At 36.4% G+C, this 16,339-nt stretch overlaps 1 protein-coding gene across 1 annotated transcript in view; it reads left to right on the top strand.

The window, feature by feature from the left end:
• PDE7B (phosphodiesterase 7B) overlaps positions 1-16,339 on the top strand; it is a 343,874-nt gene that overhangs the window by 283,479 nt on the left and 44,056 nt on the right. Inside the window, exons 4-6 of the mRNA NM_018945.4 lie at positions 12,172-12,323; positions 13,908-13,971; positions 15,981-16,076. Coding sequence (NP_061818.1) covers positions 12,172-12,323; positions 13,908-13,971; positions 15,981-16,076 — 312 coding nt within the window. The remainder of the gene's footprint in view (positions 1-12,171; positions 12,324-13,907; positions 13,972-15,980; positions 16,077-16,339) is intronic.

Consider the following 16,339-nt stretch of genomic DNA (forward strand, 5'->3'; position numbering starts at 1 on the left):
TGGAGAACTTAAAATAACTTTTGAGTTCCTTTAAGCTCAAACAGATTTTCCAACTTCAAATTAAATTTTAAGATGATGGTTTGCTTTATTTTGGTTTAGGTTTTTTCTCCCTTTCTTACTTTTTTCCTCTTTTTGGTGGTTTTATTATTGTTGTAGATGTTTTGTTGTATGTGTTTTTGTTTTCTAATAGTTACAACTCATCTTCTTTTCTATTAAAAACTAAGCCTAGCAAATGCCCTAAATGTTAAGAAATTTGTTTTTATCTTAAATTGCTCAGAATTTCAAAGTCATTTATAATGACTTTGTCTTAAAAATATGTCCACCCATGTGAGGAAATCTCCACACTTGATGATGTTAAGGGCCAAATAATATATTTGGTTGTCATCAGTTTCTACCCATCATTTTCTGACCACTGAGAATAGACACAGTAAGAAATAAACAAATATGGCCTCTTATGACCACTGGTGATTTCTGAAAGACTGGGGGAGTCATAGTATTTTATTTTAAAAGGTTTTCTGGCAGCTATTTTATGAATAAATGAAACTTTAATGTCTAGAGATGCTAAACTGTGAAAGGGATGATTTGAATACTGAAGTCATTACAACCAAGTCTAAGTTATTAAATTTGCTAAAAGCACGTGAAAGTGAATCGAAGTGTTTAATACATTGAAGGGAGCACTGGTCTCATCCAGAGAATGACATCCTTAGCACCTCGTCAAAGTCCGTACTGTAAGTTCTGGAAATGACTCAATATTGTTTTCTACACACAACCTCTTTAAATTTTTTTAATTTCTTAAAGTAGTCTATATAAAAATTATTTTTACAGGGCAACTGCATCTTAGGCTAGGTTACTTCAATCTTAAAATCCTCATGTATGCTTTCAAGAAAACTGTCATCCTAGACAACACTAACCTTTTAATTTTACAGGGATCCTGAACCCTGAACTAGTAGAATGTGTGAAAGAGTGAAAGAGCTGTGCTGTAAATCTGCTACTTCTGCTTCAGGACACTGTCAAACTAATTAACAGTTTCTCCTGTTTTTTAAAGCTGCATATTGAAAACTAGAATTTCACCCTGCTTTCTCCAGAGTTCCGCATTCTTGAACTTAGATGAGAGCACACACATCAGGAAAGTAATTTAATTCCATCAACATGTATTTCACACCTACAACCTGCAGGACTTTGTGGAAATTCAAAGAAAATTTAACAGAAATCTGGTCTCCAAAACCTTACAGCATAATAAGAAAGTCAGATATGTGAATAAGAGTGAACTTTGCAACCACACGAGGCACAACTGAGTGTTACAGCAAAAGTCAAAACAAGCAAAGGACAAAGAGGGTGACTAGGGTCAATAATAATTGTACATTGAAAAAATAACTAAAAGAGTATAACTGGATTCTTTGTAACAGAAAGGATGAATGGTTGAAGGTATGGATACCCCATTTTCCATGATGTCATATTACACATTGCATGCCCGTTATCAAAACACCTCATGTACCCCATAAATATGTATATACCTACTATGTACCCACAAAAATTAAAAATAAAACAATTATAAGAAGTGAAAATAAAATAAATAATGAAAAAAAAAAAAAGCAAAGGACAGTGGCAGTGGCAAGAGGGCCTGGACCCTGGAACTCCATTTTGAGGTTGACTCAGAAAATGATTACAATGTGTATGTATAAGTTTTAGCATCTCCACTTAACAAATTGGCTTATTGTTCAAAAAGAGCATTTAACAGTGATATTTCTGTAAATGAAGAGAATTTATTCCAATTTAATCAACAAATTTTTTACTGTTTCCATTACATGTAAGATTATTATACACTAGATACCAGGGGTCAGAAAGGCTGATTAAATGGTTTCTGACTTTGGGGTGTAATAGTTGTTCACCAATAACTGTAGTACAAGACATATGAAAAATCCTGTAACAGTTGGGTGTAGTGGTACATATGTATAATCCCAGCTACCCTGGAGGCTGAGGCAGGAGGACTGTTTTTAGGGCAGGAGTTTGAGGTTGTAGTACACTATGATTGCACACCTGTGAACAGCCACCACACTCCAGCCTGGGCAGCATAGCAAGACTGTCACTTAAAAAAAAAATTCCTATAAAAGGAAGATAAACAAAGCCTATGAATAGCCACTAACCAAGCAAGAAATTTTATTAGAATTACTAGCTCAATAATTATCAAAGTAGGGCTTAATAACACATTATTAAGAGGTTCAGTTGGACTGATGCTCGAAAGTGCTAATATTAGGTTTATGTAGTTGGATCTCCACGGGTGCTTAACAGTCAGCTCTGCTCACTTAAACACAAAGGCTTTCTTTGTTCTCAGTATCACCCTAGCTACTTCTGCACCAGTTAGTCACTACTCGACTTCTGGAAACAGTTGACATAGACCTATTTCAGGGAACCAGATATACAGTTGACAGAAACAGCCTTATAATATGGATATATTTACAGCTTTCTTAAATCTCAGATATTTATTCTAGATTTAAGGTTTCTCCTGGTACCAAAATTAATCAGCCCCTATACAGAGACTATTCCATAAAGAAGGTACTCAAAAATGAAAATAATTTTTATTAACATATTTTTGCATTTAAGCCAACCCCAACTTGTAAAATTTAACAATTACTGTACCAGCAGTGCCAATACAAACTTTGTATTCCTAAAATTAGCACCAAAGTAGTGCAAAAATGTGTTAATATGTAGATATCTGTGATATTTACAAAAGAAAAGTGAAAAGAAAATGAATTTCACAGTTCGGGTCAATGCTCACATGGATTAGGCAATGAAACATTCTGGAACACCTTTTTATAACTATTCCAAATGAGAATTTGGAAACCATAAAACAATAAAATCCAAACAAAGGTGCATTAGGATAACTGTAAATGCCTTTAAGTAATGATTTGTAAAATTGTATAAGGGTCTTAAATAAACCTAGCATTTTATTACCAGGCACACTGTTAACATTCCCCAGATTTTTACAAGAGGAATTTAGCGAGCTATCTGTAAGATTTAGCTTAGCTAATCATTTACGTTTCTACCCAGAAATACATATCAATACATTATCAAAGTAAATATGGTAGCTATGCACTGGGAGTCCTTTTGGAAACAAATATATCAGATCTTTATCAATAATTGATTAACACATTTAAATACTTCAAAAACCAGGACCTTGTACTATTATACAGAGGGTGCTTTATTCAGATTGTTATATGAATTTTTTTCCTCCCATCTTCAGCTTCTTATATCTTCGTTTTTCTTTATCTCACAAAACACAAATTGCTCCCTAAATAACACTCGATAAGTTATTAATGTTAGTTTAAATAAACTTATTTTTTCTTGGATTGTTGCACGTTCTTCCCCTTTAGAAAGCTACCTTGAGGATTTTTTTTCTGGTTAGCTTTATGTATGTCCTCAAATAAGAAAGTTAAGTGCTATTGTTTTCGCAAATGGCTATGTAGCATTGGTTCTGAATCATTTGCTTGTTAATTAAAGGATAACCCAGATAGAAGTTAAACGGAGTAGTCATGGCCTGCCTTGCTATTTTAGAAAATATTGGCCACCAGTTAACACTGCAACTTGTCAGATATCTACTTGCCCATCTGAGAGGGCAGGTTTGAAAGTACACAAATAAAGAATACACATCATGATGACCAATTCATTCAAAAACTTTGAACATTTTTAGGGGGAAAGACATTATATGCTACATGTTTTAACCTACAAGGCATCATAGAAAATTAACTATGAAAAGATTTGTTGGCTAGCTTTATTTAATTACTGGATTTTTTTGTTGTTTTTTATTATACTTTAAGTTTTAGGGTACATGTGCACGATGTGCAGGTTTGTTACATATGTATACATGTGCCATGTTGGTGTGCTGCACCCATTAACTCATCATTTAACATTAGGCATATCTCCTAATGCTATCCCTCCCCCTTCCCCCGACGCCACAACAGGCCCCAGTGTGTGATGTTCGCCCTCCTGTGTCCATGTGTTCTCATTGTTCAATTCCCACCTATGAGTGAGAACATGCAGTGTTTGGTCTTTTGTCCTTGCAATAGTTTGCTGAGAATGATGGTTTCCAGCTTCATCCATGTCCCTACAAAGGACATGAACTCATCACTTTTTATGGCTGCATAGTATTCCGTGGTGTATATGTGCCACATTTTCTTAATCCAGTCTATCATTGTTGGACATTTGGGTTGGTTCCAAGTCTTTGCTATTGTGAATAGTGCCTCAGTAAACATACGTGTGCATGTGTCTTTAGAGCAGCATGATTTATAATCCTTTGGGTATATACCCGGTAATGGGATGGCTGGGTCAAATGGTATTTCTAGTTCTAGATCCTTGAGGAATCGCCACACTGACTTCCACAATGGTTGAACTAGTTTACAGTCCCACCAACAGTGTAAAAGTGTTCCTATTTCTCCACATCCTCTCCAGTACCTGTTGTTTCCTGACTTTTTAACTATCGCCATTCTAACTGGTGTGAGATGGTATCTCATTGTGGTTTTGATTTGCATTTCTCTGATGGCCAGTGATGACGAGCATTTTTTCACGTGTCTTTTGGCTGCATAAATGTCTTCTTTTGAGAAGTGTCTGTTCATATCCTTCGCCCACTTGTTGATGGGGTTGTTTGTTTTTTTCTTGTAAATTTGTTGGAGTTCATTGTAGATTCTGGATATTAGCCCTTTGTCAGATGAGTAGATTGCAAAAATTTTCTCCCATTCTGTAGGTTGCCTGTTCACTCTGATGGTAGTTTCTTTTGTTGTGCAGAAGCTCTTTAGTTTAATTAGATCCCATTGGTCAATTTTGGCTTTTGTTGCCATTGCTTTTGGTGTTTTAGACATGAAGTTCTTGCCCATGCCTATGTCCTGAATGGTAATGCCTAGGTTTTCTTCTAGGGTTTTTATGGTTTTAGGTCTAACATTTAAGTCTTTAATCCATCTTGAATTGATTTTTGTATAAGGTGTAAGGAAGGGATCCAGTTTCAGCTTTCTACATATGGCTAGCCAGTTTTCCCAGTAGCATTTATTAAATAGGGAATCGTTTCCCCATTTCTTGTTTTTGTCAGGTTTGTCAAAGACCAGAGAGTTGTAGATACGCAGCATTATTTCTGAGGGCTCTGTTCTGTTCCATTGGTCTGTATCTCTGTTTTGGTACCAGTACCATGCTGTTTTGGTTACTGTAGCCTTGCAGTATAGTTTGAAGTCAGGTAGCATGATGCCTCCAGCTTTGTTCTTTTGGCTTAGGATTGACTTGGTAATGCAGGCTCTTTTTTGGTTCCATATGAACTTTAAAGTAGTTTTTTCCAATTCTATGAAGAAAGTCATTGGTAGCTTGATGGCAATGGCATTGAATCTATAAATTACCTTGGCAGTATGGCCATTTTCACGATATTGATTCCTCCTACCCTTGAGCATGGAATGTTCTTCCATTGTTTGTATCCTCTTTTATTTCATTGAGCAGTGGTTTGTAGTTCTCCTTGAAGAGGTCCTTCACATCCCTTGTAAGTTGGATTCCTAGGTATTTTGTTCTCTTTGAAGCAATTGTGAATGGGAGTTCACTCATGATTTGGCTGTTTGTCTGTTATTGGTGTATAAGAATGCTTGTGATTTTTGCTCATTGATTTTGTATCCTGAGACTTTGCTGAAGTTGCCTATCAGCTTAAGGAGACTTTGGGCTGAGACAATGGGGTTTTCTAGATATACAATCATGTCGTCTGCAAACAGGGACAATTTGACTTCCTCTTTTCCTGATTGAATACCCTTTATTTCCTTCTCCTGCCTGATTGTCCTGGCCAGAACTTCCAACACTATGTTGAATAGGAGTGGTGAGAGAGGGCATCCCTGTATTGTGCCAGTTTTCAAAGGGAATGCTTCCAGTTTTTGCCCATTCAGTATGATATTAGCTGTGGGTTTGTCATAGATAGCTCTTATTATTTTGAGATACGTCCCATCAGTACCTAATTTATTGAGAGTTTTTAGCATGAAGGGTTGTTGAATTTTGTCAAAGGCCTTTTCTGCGTCTATTGAGATAATCATGTAGTTTTTGTCTTTGGTTCTGTTTATATGCTGGATTACCTTTATTGATTTGCGTATGTTGAACCAGCCTTGCATCCCAGGGATGAAGCCCACTTGATCATGGTGGATAAGCTTTTTGATGTGCTGCTGGATTGGGTTTGCCAGTATTTTATTGAGGATACTTGCATTGATGTTCATCAGGAATATTGGTCTAAAATTCTCCTTTTTTGTTGTGTCTCTGCCAGGCTTTGGTATCAGGATGATGCTGGCCTCATAAAATGAGTTAGGGAGGATTCCCTCTTTTTCTATTGATTGGAATAGTTTCAGAAGGAATGGTACCAGCTCCTCCTTGTACCTGTGGTAGAATTTGGCTGTGAATCCATCTGGTCCTGGACTTTTTTTGGTTTGTAAGCTATTAATTATTGCCTCAATTTCAGATCCTGTTATTGGTCTATTCAGAGATTCAACTTCTTCCTGGTTTAGTCTTGAGAGGGTGTATGTGTCGAGGAATTTATCCATTTCTTCTAGATTTTCTAGTTTATTTGCGTACAGGTGTTTAGTATTCTCTGATGGTAGTTTGTATTTCTGTGGGATCGGTGCTGATATCCCCTTTATCATTTTTTGATTGCGTCTATTTGATTCTTCTCTCTTATTCGTCTTGCGAGCAGTCTATCAATTTTGTTGATCTTTTCAAAAAACCAGCTTCTGGATTCATTGATTTTTTGAAGGGTTTTTTGTATCTGTTTCCTTCAGTTCTGCTCTGATCTTAGTTATTTCTTGCCTTCTGCTAGCTTTTGCGTGTGTTTGCTCTTGCTTCTCTAGTTCTTTTAATTGTGATGTTAGGGTATCAGTTTTAGATCTTTCCTGCTTTCTCTTGTGGGCATTTAGTGCTATAAATTTCCCTCTACACACTGCTTTGACTGTGTCCCAGAGATTCTGGTATGTTGTGTCTTTGTTCTCACTGGTTTCAAAGAACATCTTTATTTCTGCCTTCATTTCGTTATGTACCCAGTAGTCATTCAGGAGCAGGTTGTTCAGTTTCCATGTAGTTGAGCAGTTTGGAGTGAGTTTCTTAATCCTGAGTTCTAGTTTGATTGCACTGTGGTCTGAGAGACAGTTTGTTATAATTTCTGTTCTTTTACATTTGCTGAGGAGTGCTTTACTTCCAAGTATGTGGTGAATTTTGGAATAGGTGTGGTGTGGTGCTGAGAAGAATGTATATTCTGTTGATTTGGGGTGGAGAGTTCTGTAGATGTCTATTAGGTCCTCTTGGTGCAGAGCTGAGTTCAGTTCCTGGATATCCTTGTTAACTTTCTGTCTCGCTGATCTAATGTTGACAGTGGGGTGTTAAAGTCTCCCATTATTATTGTGTGGGAGCCTAAGTCTCTTTGTAGGTCACTAAGGACTTGCTTTATGAATCTGGGTGCTCCTGTATTGGGTGCATATATATTTAGGATAGTTAGCTCTTCTTGTTGAATTGATCCCTTTACCATTATGTAATGGCTTTCTTTGTCTCTTTTGATCTTTGCTGGTTTAAAGTCTTTTTTATCAGAGACTAGGATTGCAACCCCTGCCTTTTTTTGTTTTCCATTTTCTTGGTAGATCTTCCTCCATCCCTTTATTTTGAGCCTATGTGTGTCTCTGCACATGAATGGGTTTCCTGAATACAGCACACTGATAGGTCTTGACTCTTTATCCAATTTGCCAGTCTGTGTCTTTTAATTGGAGCATTTAGCCTATTTACATTTAAGGTTAATATTGTTATGTGTGAATTTGATCCTGTCATTATGATGTTAGCTGGTTATTTTGCCCGTTAGTTGATGCAGTTTCTTCCTACCCTCAATGATCTTTACAATTTGGCATGTTTTTGCAGTGGCTGGTACTGGTTGTTCCTTTCCATGTTTAGTGCTTCCTTCAGGAGCTCTTTTAGGGCAGGCCTGGTGGTGACAAAATCTCTCAGCATTTGCTTGTCTGTAAAGTATTTAATTACTGGGGTTTTTTAAACACCATCTGAGTTTATGTTTCAAAGACTGGCCCAATATGGTAGCTCACACTTATAATCCCAGTATTTATGGTAGGCCTAGGCAGGAGGATCACTTAAGCCCAGGATCATCAGCCCTGGCAACACAGTGATACCCCCATGTCTATTATATTTTTTTTATTTAAAAAAAAAATGCAAGACAGGCTAGAGTCAGGGGAATGAGGCACTAGCCTTACTTAAAATTTAGGGGAATACCAAATAACTTGGTGATCACAGTGTATCATATCTTAATGTAATATTTTTAAAAATCAAAATTAAAACCAAAAAAAGTCATGAGAAACAATATATCAAAAATTTAAATAAAGATCCAAAGAGGTCTGCATTCTGTCATGTTGCTGAACTAATGTTACTATTATTCATTTGACTCTAGGTGAAGAAAAATAGGTAAGGAATCATGCTGTTTTCTTCTTTGTTGTAAAGATAAAAACAGATCTAAACTTAATATCTCCAGCTCATGGCATCATTAGTTTAGTAATATTTTAGTCAAAGTTAGTGAATAGTAACCATTATTTCCTATCATCTACACTTAGGATATGTCACTTAATTTCAATGTCATTATCTTAACTATGAATCTTCCTAAAGTACTACACTACTTGGAAAACTAAAGGGAAGTTTAAGAAGTAATCCATCATTTCAATTTGCTACATTTGTGGCATATTTCCATCATTCAGGGCTATTTTACTTGCTTCTGAGTTTATTATATAAATATAGGTATACTCTCAGCTACATAAGACATTTTCTTTTAGTATTTTGAGATGGGGGAATTTTAAAGAATATGAAAAAAAGGAAAAGATCATCTATATTTTCTTTTAGATTTTCCTTATACGTAACATAGGAATAATTTATTTATTGAATAATTGATTTCATTCTATATAGAGCTATCACTACATTTCTTTACTTTCCTATGTAGCAAAACTCCTTAAAAGAGTGGTCTACACTTGATATTGTTTCAAACTTCTTCTTCACATTTTTTCTCTTCTTAAATTTTTTATCATAAAATAACTTCAATTTATCAAAAATCTGCAAGAATACTCATATACTCTTTCTCTATATGCACCATTTGTTATATTTTGCAATCTTTGCCTTACTGCACACATTTTTGCTTAACACTTTATTGTACATATGCTACTTTATCACTAAATATTTCAGCATGTATTTTCTAAGAATGAAGGCATTCTTTTGTAACCACACTTCAATTATCAGACATTCAAATAATGTGTTTGGGGTATTTCTGGACAATCACTGTGATGTCAACATTCAAGTTTTGAAAGGCACATGTGAAATGAGTATTAAAATATTTATAAATACTGTCTCATGCATAAATCCATATCCAAAATTGTGCTAATAATGTCATTTATGACATTTTTTCTGATACAGAATCCAGTTAAGGGTCATGCATTGCATTTAGTGCACTGTCTCTGGTATTCATTATTATGAAACAATACCTAAGGCTGTCTTTGTCTTTCATGATATTGACATTTTTTAAGAGAGCACAGGCTGATTGTTTTGTGAAGTGTCCTTCAACAATTTTTTCTAATGTTTCCTCTTTATTAGAATCAGATGTGCATTTGGGGCAGGAACACAATATGTGTGAGGTTGTATCCTCAGTGCATTACATTAGGAAGAGCATGATGTCAGTTTCTGGTGGCATTAACTAGGGTTACTTAGGGAAGATGATGCCCCCTCCACATTTTTCCACTAAAAACTACCCATTTTTTTCTTCTCCAATTAATAAGTCTTCTGTGGGTAAATGCTTTGATATTGGGTAATTACCCCATTGCTTTTTAAACTTTCATTTAATAATTTTAGTATCCATTAATGATTCTGGCCTGAATCAGTCATTACCATATCGGCTGCAAAATGGTAATTTTCCAGCTCTATTATTTCTTCTACATTTATCAGTTGGCACATTCTACAAGGAAGAGATTTCACTTTTCCTTATTTATTTACTTATTTACCTTATCACCTGTATGAACTCATTGGTTCTTACTTCAGCCAATGGTTTACAATCCATTCTTTCGTTATTCATTTTGAGACTCAAATTTCCCGTATTTTCTCAGAGAGATCCCTTGATGTTGTCACTTCTGTCATTTTTAAATGATTCCATCATTTTTTGAGCTCCCCCTTATTCTCTAGTATAACAAGGTGCTACAGTTCATCTGATACATTTTCCATCCCTGCCCTAGAATTGGCCATTTCACCAAGATAAATCTGGTTCCTATTAGCAAAAAGTCATATTTAAAAACCAGAATCTGGGTGCTAGAAGTGCTCGTTGCTACTTCTAGGCACTTCTAGAGTGTTGCTGCTTCTAGGCACACAATACAATGTGCTCAAGTACTGTGAATAGTTCATGGCCAACTCTCAGTCTTCATGGTACCTGACCCATTAGCAGCATTTAATTTTAATGATCGCATCTTCCTCCCAGCAATACAATCTTCATGAAGCTTCTAGGAAATGATGCTCTCTTGGCTTTCCTCTGTCCTTATGGAATACTTCCCAGTCCTCTTTAATTTTCCCTACTTTTCTCTAAACCCATCTAAAGTCAAGGTAGAGTCTAGAACTCAGGACTTTTTGATCCTTTTCTCATCTGTATCTATACTTACTCCCTAGGTAATGTCATCTGACAACTTTCAAGTTTTTATCTCAAGCCCAGTCTTCTCCCTCAAGCTCTGGATTTTATATCCATTTATTTCTACTTAGCACCTTCACCTGAATCTCTGATAGATGTCTAAATACAACATGTGTAAAACTGAACCACTCCAGACCTGGTCCACCTATAGCCTGCCCTTGAATTATGCCTTTGCAAGCATAATGCAGCCTAAATAACAAACTGATTTTGGTCACTCACTGCCATCAGGGAGCACCCATTGTTTCCTCTGCCTCTGCCATCTGTTGTGATTTTTGAGTTCCACAGAGGAAAGGGGGAGATGGGAGAAGGTAGGACAGAAGCCCAAATTACTTTACATATGAGCCGTACATTTCCTACTAGACTGTTAAACTGACTCTACATTCAAAATTGGCAGCAGACGTCACTAATGTGGCCTTAGAGTGATTCATATAATTTCAGCTGAGATAAGAAATATCTTGACAGACATTCAAATAATGTGTTTGGGGTATTTCTGGACAATCACTGTGATGTCAACACTCAAGTTTTGAAAGGCACATGTGAAATGAGTATTAAAATATCTCTACTGGCAAGATTAGATTTTTATGGCAACCAGTAAGAGAGAATACACCATTAGAAAGTAAACACTCTCTGCTTCTTCTCAGGGGCATCCAGGTCACTTTTTGTGCAAGATTATTGATTCCTTTGCCAATTATGTTCCTGGAATATTAGAAACCATTTCCTCATGTGTAAACTGGTGTATTTACAACCCTCCTAATTCAGGTGGAAAAATTCATCATACAAGTAACAGTGTGGGATGAGAACTTGGCCTAAATGTTTGAGTCTCAATTCTGCTGTAGTAGAAAAAGAATAACTGCTCATTTCAAATGCAGGCAGAAGTGTGTGAATTTCACTTAGCATACCAGCATCATTAACAAGAAAATGAAATTCTTAATTCATATATTTCATGGCCTTCCAAAATTACATTCTGAAACACCTTGACATTTTAGTAAATGTAATATATAAGAAATACTAGTTAGGCCGGGTGCAGTGGCTCTCTCCTATAATCCCAGCACTTTGGGAGGCTCAAGACGAGCCTGGGCAACATGGCAAAAACTTGTCTCCACAAAAAATATAAATATTAGCTAGGCATGGTGGCACATGCCTGTAGTAGCATCTACTCAGGAGGGTGAGGCGGGAGGATCGCTTGAGCCCAGGAGGCAGAGGTTGAAGTGAGCCAAGATTGCACCACTGCACTCCAGACTGGATGACAGTGTGAGACCCAGTCTCAAAAAATAAATAAGTAAAAATTAAAAAAAAAACAAATATCAGGTATGTTCATGAAACATTTCAAATGTAGAGTTCAATAGACCATATTTTTAAAAGTATAGAAAGCATCTTTTAAATTTCTCTTCTTTTAATGCATTTATTTTTACAGAGTGGAGAAAATTGGCTCTCTTTTAAATATATAAATTTCTTGACTTGATGACTTTCCACAGGTACAACATACTCAGGGGAGATTGGCACCAAGAAAAAGGTGAAAAGACTATTAAGCTTTCAAAGATACTTCCATGCATCAAGGCTGCTTCGTGGAATTATACCACAAGCCCCTCTGCACCTGCTGGATGAAGACTACCTTGGACAAGCAAGGGTAAGCTGACTGCCCCATCTCCTCACAGCAGGCCAGTGGCCAAGAGCATGTGCCTCAGCTGATAGCACTGGTGTTGGAGTCCTACTCTGCCTCTGAGGAGCTCTGTGACCCTGAGCTCATTATTCCATACATCTGGACTTGTTCCTCTAATAGAAAATGAAATTAACAGAAACATCCCCCTTATGAGGTGCACGAAGTAAACCATGTTTATGTGCTGAATATACCCATGCCTAACACATACTAGCCATTTTCATTTTTATAAAGGTACAAAACATATTTGCACGATACTAAGTAAAGCAAAATTTTGGACTGGCAGATTACTAATGAGGGAATAACTAATTTTTTTAATTTATTAAATTAGCTCATCGTAACAGCTACACTAAAAATAACCCAATCACTATCAACTCTTAATTCTACTTTAGGCTATTGATGCACTGCATTTTCCTTTTCATAATTTTTAATTCATTTGAATAAATTTTAATAACTCTACAATTACTTTAGTAATACATTGATCTGACTGAGGGTGGAAATTAATGTGTGACCATCTGAAAAAAGTGTTCAGGTTATGTCTACCCCAAACTGCCAAAGGAATTTAAATTTCAGCAATAAATGCCCCAGTTTAAACAGAAGTCGAAGATAGATTTTACAGCTTGCATGCTAAGTGATATTATACTATTTATATACTATTATGAAATATATACCACTGGCAAAGCACAGTGCCTCATGCCTGTAAATCCCAGTACTTTGAGAGGCTGAGGCAGCAGGATTGCTTAAGCTCAGGAGGTTGAGGCTGCAGTGAGGTATGATGATGCTACTGTACTCCAGCCTGGGGTACAGAGTGAGACCAGGTCTCAAAAAGAAAGAAGGAAAGAAAAGAAAAGAAAGAAGGAAAGGAAAGAAAGAAGGAAAGGAAAAAGAAGGAAAGGAAAGGGAGAGAGGAGGGTGGGAGGGAGGGAGGGAAGGAAGGAAGGCAGGCAGGCAGGCAGGCAGGCAGGCAACTAATATATGCCGTTAGAAAATGAACAGCAAGTAATGTCAAAAGAGCTAATTCCCAATATTAGGCCTCCAAAAGGATAAAAAAATCATTCCTAACAGCTTAAGGTCTGAGATTGGGAAATTTTTGAATGTTTGCTTGTTTGTTGAGAGGAGAACAAGCCTTAACTTCCCCAGCCCTGGAATGTCACTGACAGAGCACTCTTGGCGGTGTCTCTCCTCTAAGCAGCCACCTCTCAAGAAAGGTGGTGTGAGATGTGGAAAGGACAGAGGGCTGGAAGTCCAGCTATCACAGGCCAAGTCCTAGGGCTGTCTTTAATATTGTGTGAGTTAGGTAAAAGTCTCACGCAATCTAAACCTCAAAAATAACCTAATATCCCTTCATTTTTCTGACGTGTTGTGACGGTCTTTTTGTGTCACGCTGAGGCATTTGGATTTTATTGTAGGACATAGGGAAACCATTCATTTGCACTAGATGGTAGTATGCTAGGATTTTCAACTTTTTAATTGTTTAATCCACTATATCCCAAAGTAAATGTTTGAGTCTCCAGTGTGATTCATTTGCGTGCTGTTTTTTGTTTGCCTTTTCAGCATATGCTCTCCAAAGTGGGAATGTGGGATTTTGACATTTTCTTGTTTGATCGCTTGACAAATGGTAAGTTACCCAAAAGAATTCTCACTAAAATATACACCATAAAGTGGGATTAATTTCATGAAAAACAAAATTTATTTTTAAACACTGCTATTCCTTTTTCCTTCTTTCCCCATTTTCATAAACCTACAGCTACTGAAGAAGGACCGGGGTAAGGGAAAATCAACTCAGATGAAAAATAAGGACTGAATTTGACCTTAGAATCTTAGGACAGTTTCCTTGTGACCTTGATCATCCCAGAGGAATTTAGAAACCACAGATTAGATTCTTTTCTTGCAGAATATTTTGGCCACATCCAGAAGTAAGGAGTTCATTGTTAGTTGATGAAAACTAGAAACAAAAGCACATCTGATCAGCCCTGACTTTTACAGGGCAGGGTGCTTATGCAGTTTTATTAAGTGAGCTAAATCTGCCCTGTTGCGGGTATTGCTCAAATGTGTTTGACATCATCAGAAGAAAACAATTGCCGAGGAAAGAATATAAAAGCTTAGGCTGCAGCCAAAGGGAAAAGCAAACATCTTCACTGGTGTCACTTCTTAAGTTTTTGTGCCTATAAAGACCTTCCTTAAGAAAATAATAAAAAACCTATTATATTTTTATCTGGCCATTAAACAAATGCTGATGAGCTTTGAGAGCCAATGAAAGACATCACATTTAATGCTGATGTTGATAGGTCTCTTTTAAGTCATTATATATGGTTTTCTCATCATTCTATTACTTGGCAAACAATATGCAGTTGAGAGAAATATAGCCTAAGACCACGAAATGGACCTTTACAGTGTGGAAAGAAAACTAGATCATGGAGAGAAGAATCCCATAATTTTGCATGTCATTTTGTTCAAATCAACTGAGAAACGGGTACTGGTAAACTAAGTTACCTGTGAACAAAAGAACTTGTTCAATGGTATTTGTTTAAAAGAGAATATAATCATGACCCTCATAGACATATGAAATGACCACATGACAGAGATTTTCTTTAACTCAATTAATTAGAGATCCAGTAAGATGCTACAACTAGTTCAAAGGAGAAGTCAAAGAGCCTCACAAGTATATGAAGTATATACCACACATATCTAAGAAATGCTGAAATTGATTTATAAGTAGCCGCAAAATCGACAGGGGGAAATAAATTGTATTTCCACCTAACTGATTTCATTTCCTGTATGTTTTCTTCCAGTAGTTTCATAGTTTCAGGTCTCATGTGTAAGTCTTAAATTCATTTAGTGTTGATTTTTGTATATGGTGAGAGATGAGGGTCTAATTTAATTCTTCTGCATGTGGATATCCCACTTTCCCAGCACCATTTATTGAAGAGACTATCCTTTCCCCAATGTGTTTTTGGTGCCTTTGTCAAACATTAGTTGGCTGCAGAAGCATGAATTTATTTCTGGGTTCTCTATTCTGTTCCATTGGCCTCATTGTCTGTGCTTTTAAAATTCAAAATCATTATTCCTAAATAAACAGTATTTCTTGAATGCTTACAAGTCATTACAGCTTCAATTTTGCATCTCTGCTGACTTGAATTCTAAAATAGCTCATAGTCAGATCTCCTCTTGAGTGATTTTCCATAGGAAGAAGAATAGGCTGTGACTATCAAGCAATATGGTGGTTTAGATACACCTGTAAATGGAATAGTCAATTGGAAGTGACTTAAGGAACATTTCAAGTGGCCATAAGCTCTGTCTTTAAAAAAATACACATATACACATGTGTGTGTGTGTGTATGTGTATGTATCCCTGACACCTCAGTAGGCAGATTCTTTCTAACTCTTAATGTCTTCATTGTCTTTGGTGAAGGGAGAAGGTCTGAGCTAATTTTACTTGTACAATAAGAAAAAACCTAGGATCAGATCATAGTAATAATATGCTCTATCCTTGAATAATTTCACTTCTAAAGGGGAAAAAATATTCTATCACAGAAACTTTATTACAGAGACTTTAGGTCTTATTGTCAATCTTGATATTTTAGTGGTGATCAAAATTAGTTAAAGGAAGTGACTGTTTTCCTGCAGGAAACAGCCTGGTAACACTGTTGTGCCACCTCTTCAATACCCATGGACTCATTCACCATTTCAAGTTAGATATGGTGACCTTACACCGATTTTTAGGTAAGTCCTTTTTTTCACATTTCTAGCCCCATTCTCTTGAATAATGGCAATGCATAATACTCTTTAATATAAAGTGGTAAGATCCATAGGATGATAGATGCATACCTCCAATTAATCTTAAATGGTCTCATCTTACTTTTAAAATATGGCTTGTTCATCCTAAATCATTTAAAAATTGTTTACTTGATTACAGTTGATCCCAAACAACTTGGGGGTTAGGGGTGCTAACCCCCTGTGTAGTCAAAAAATCTGTGTATAGCTTT

This window comes from Homo sapiens, chromosome 6 (assembly GCF_000001405.40).
Source record: "Homo sapiens chromosome 6, GRCh38.p14 Primary Assembly".
In the NCBI taxonomy this organism is placed as follows: Eukaryota; Metazoa; Chordata; class Mammalia; order Primates; family Hominidae; genus Homo; species Homo sapiens.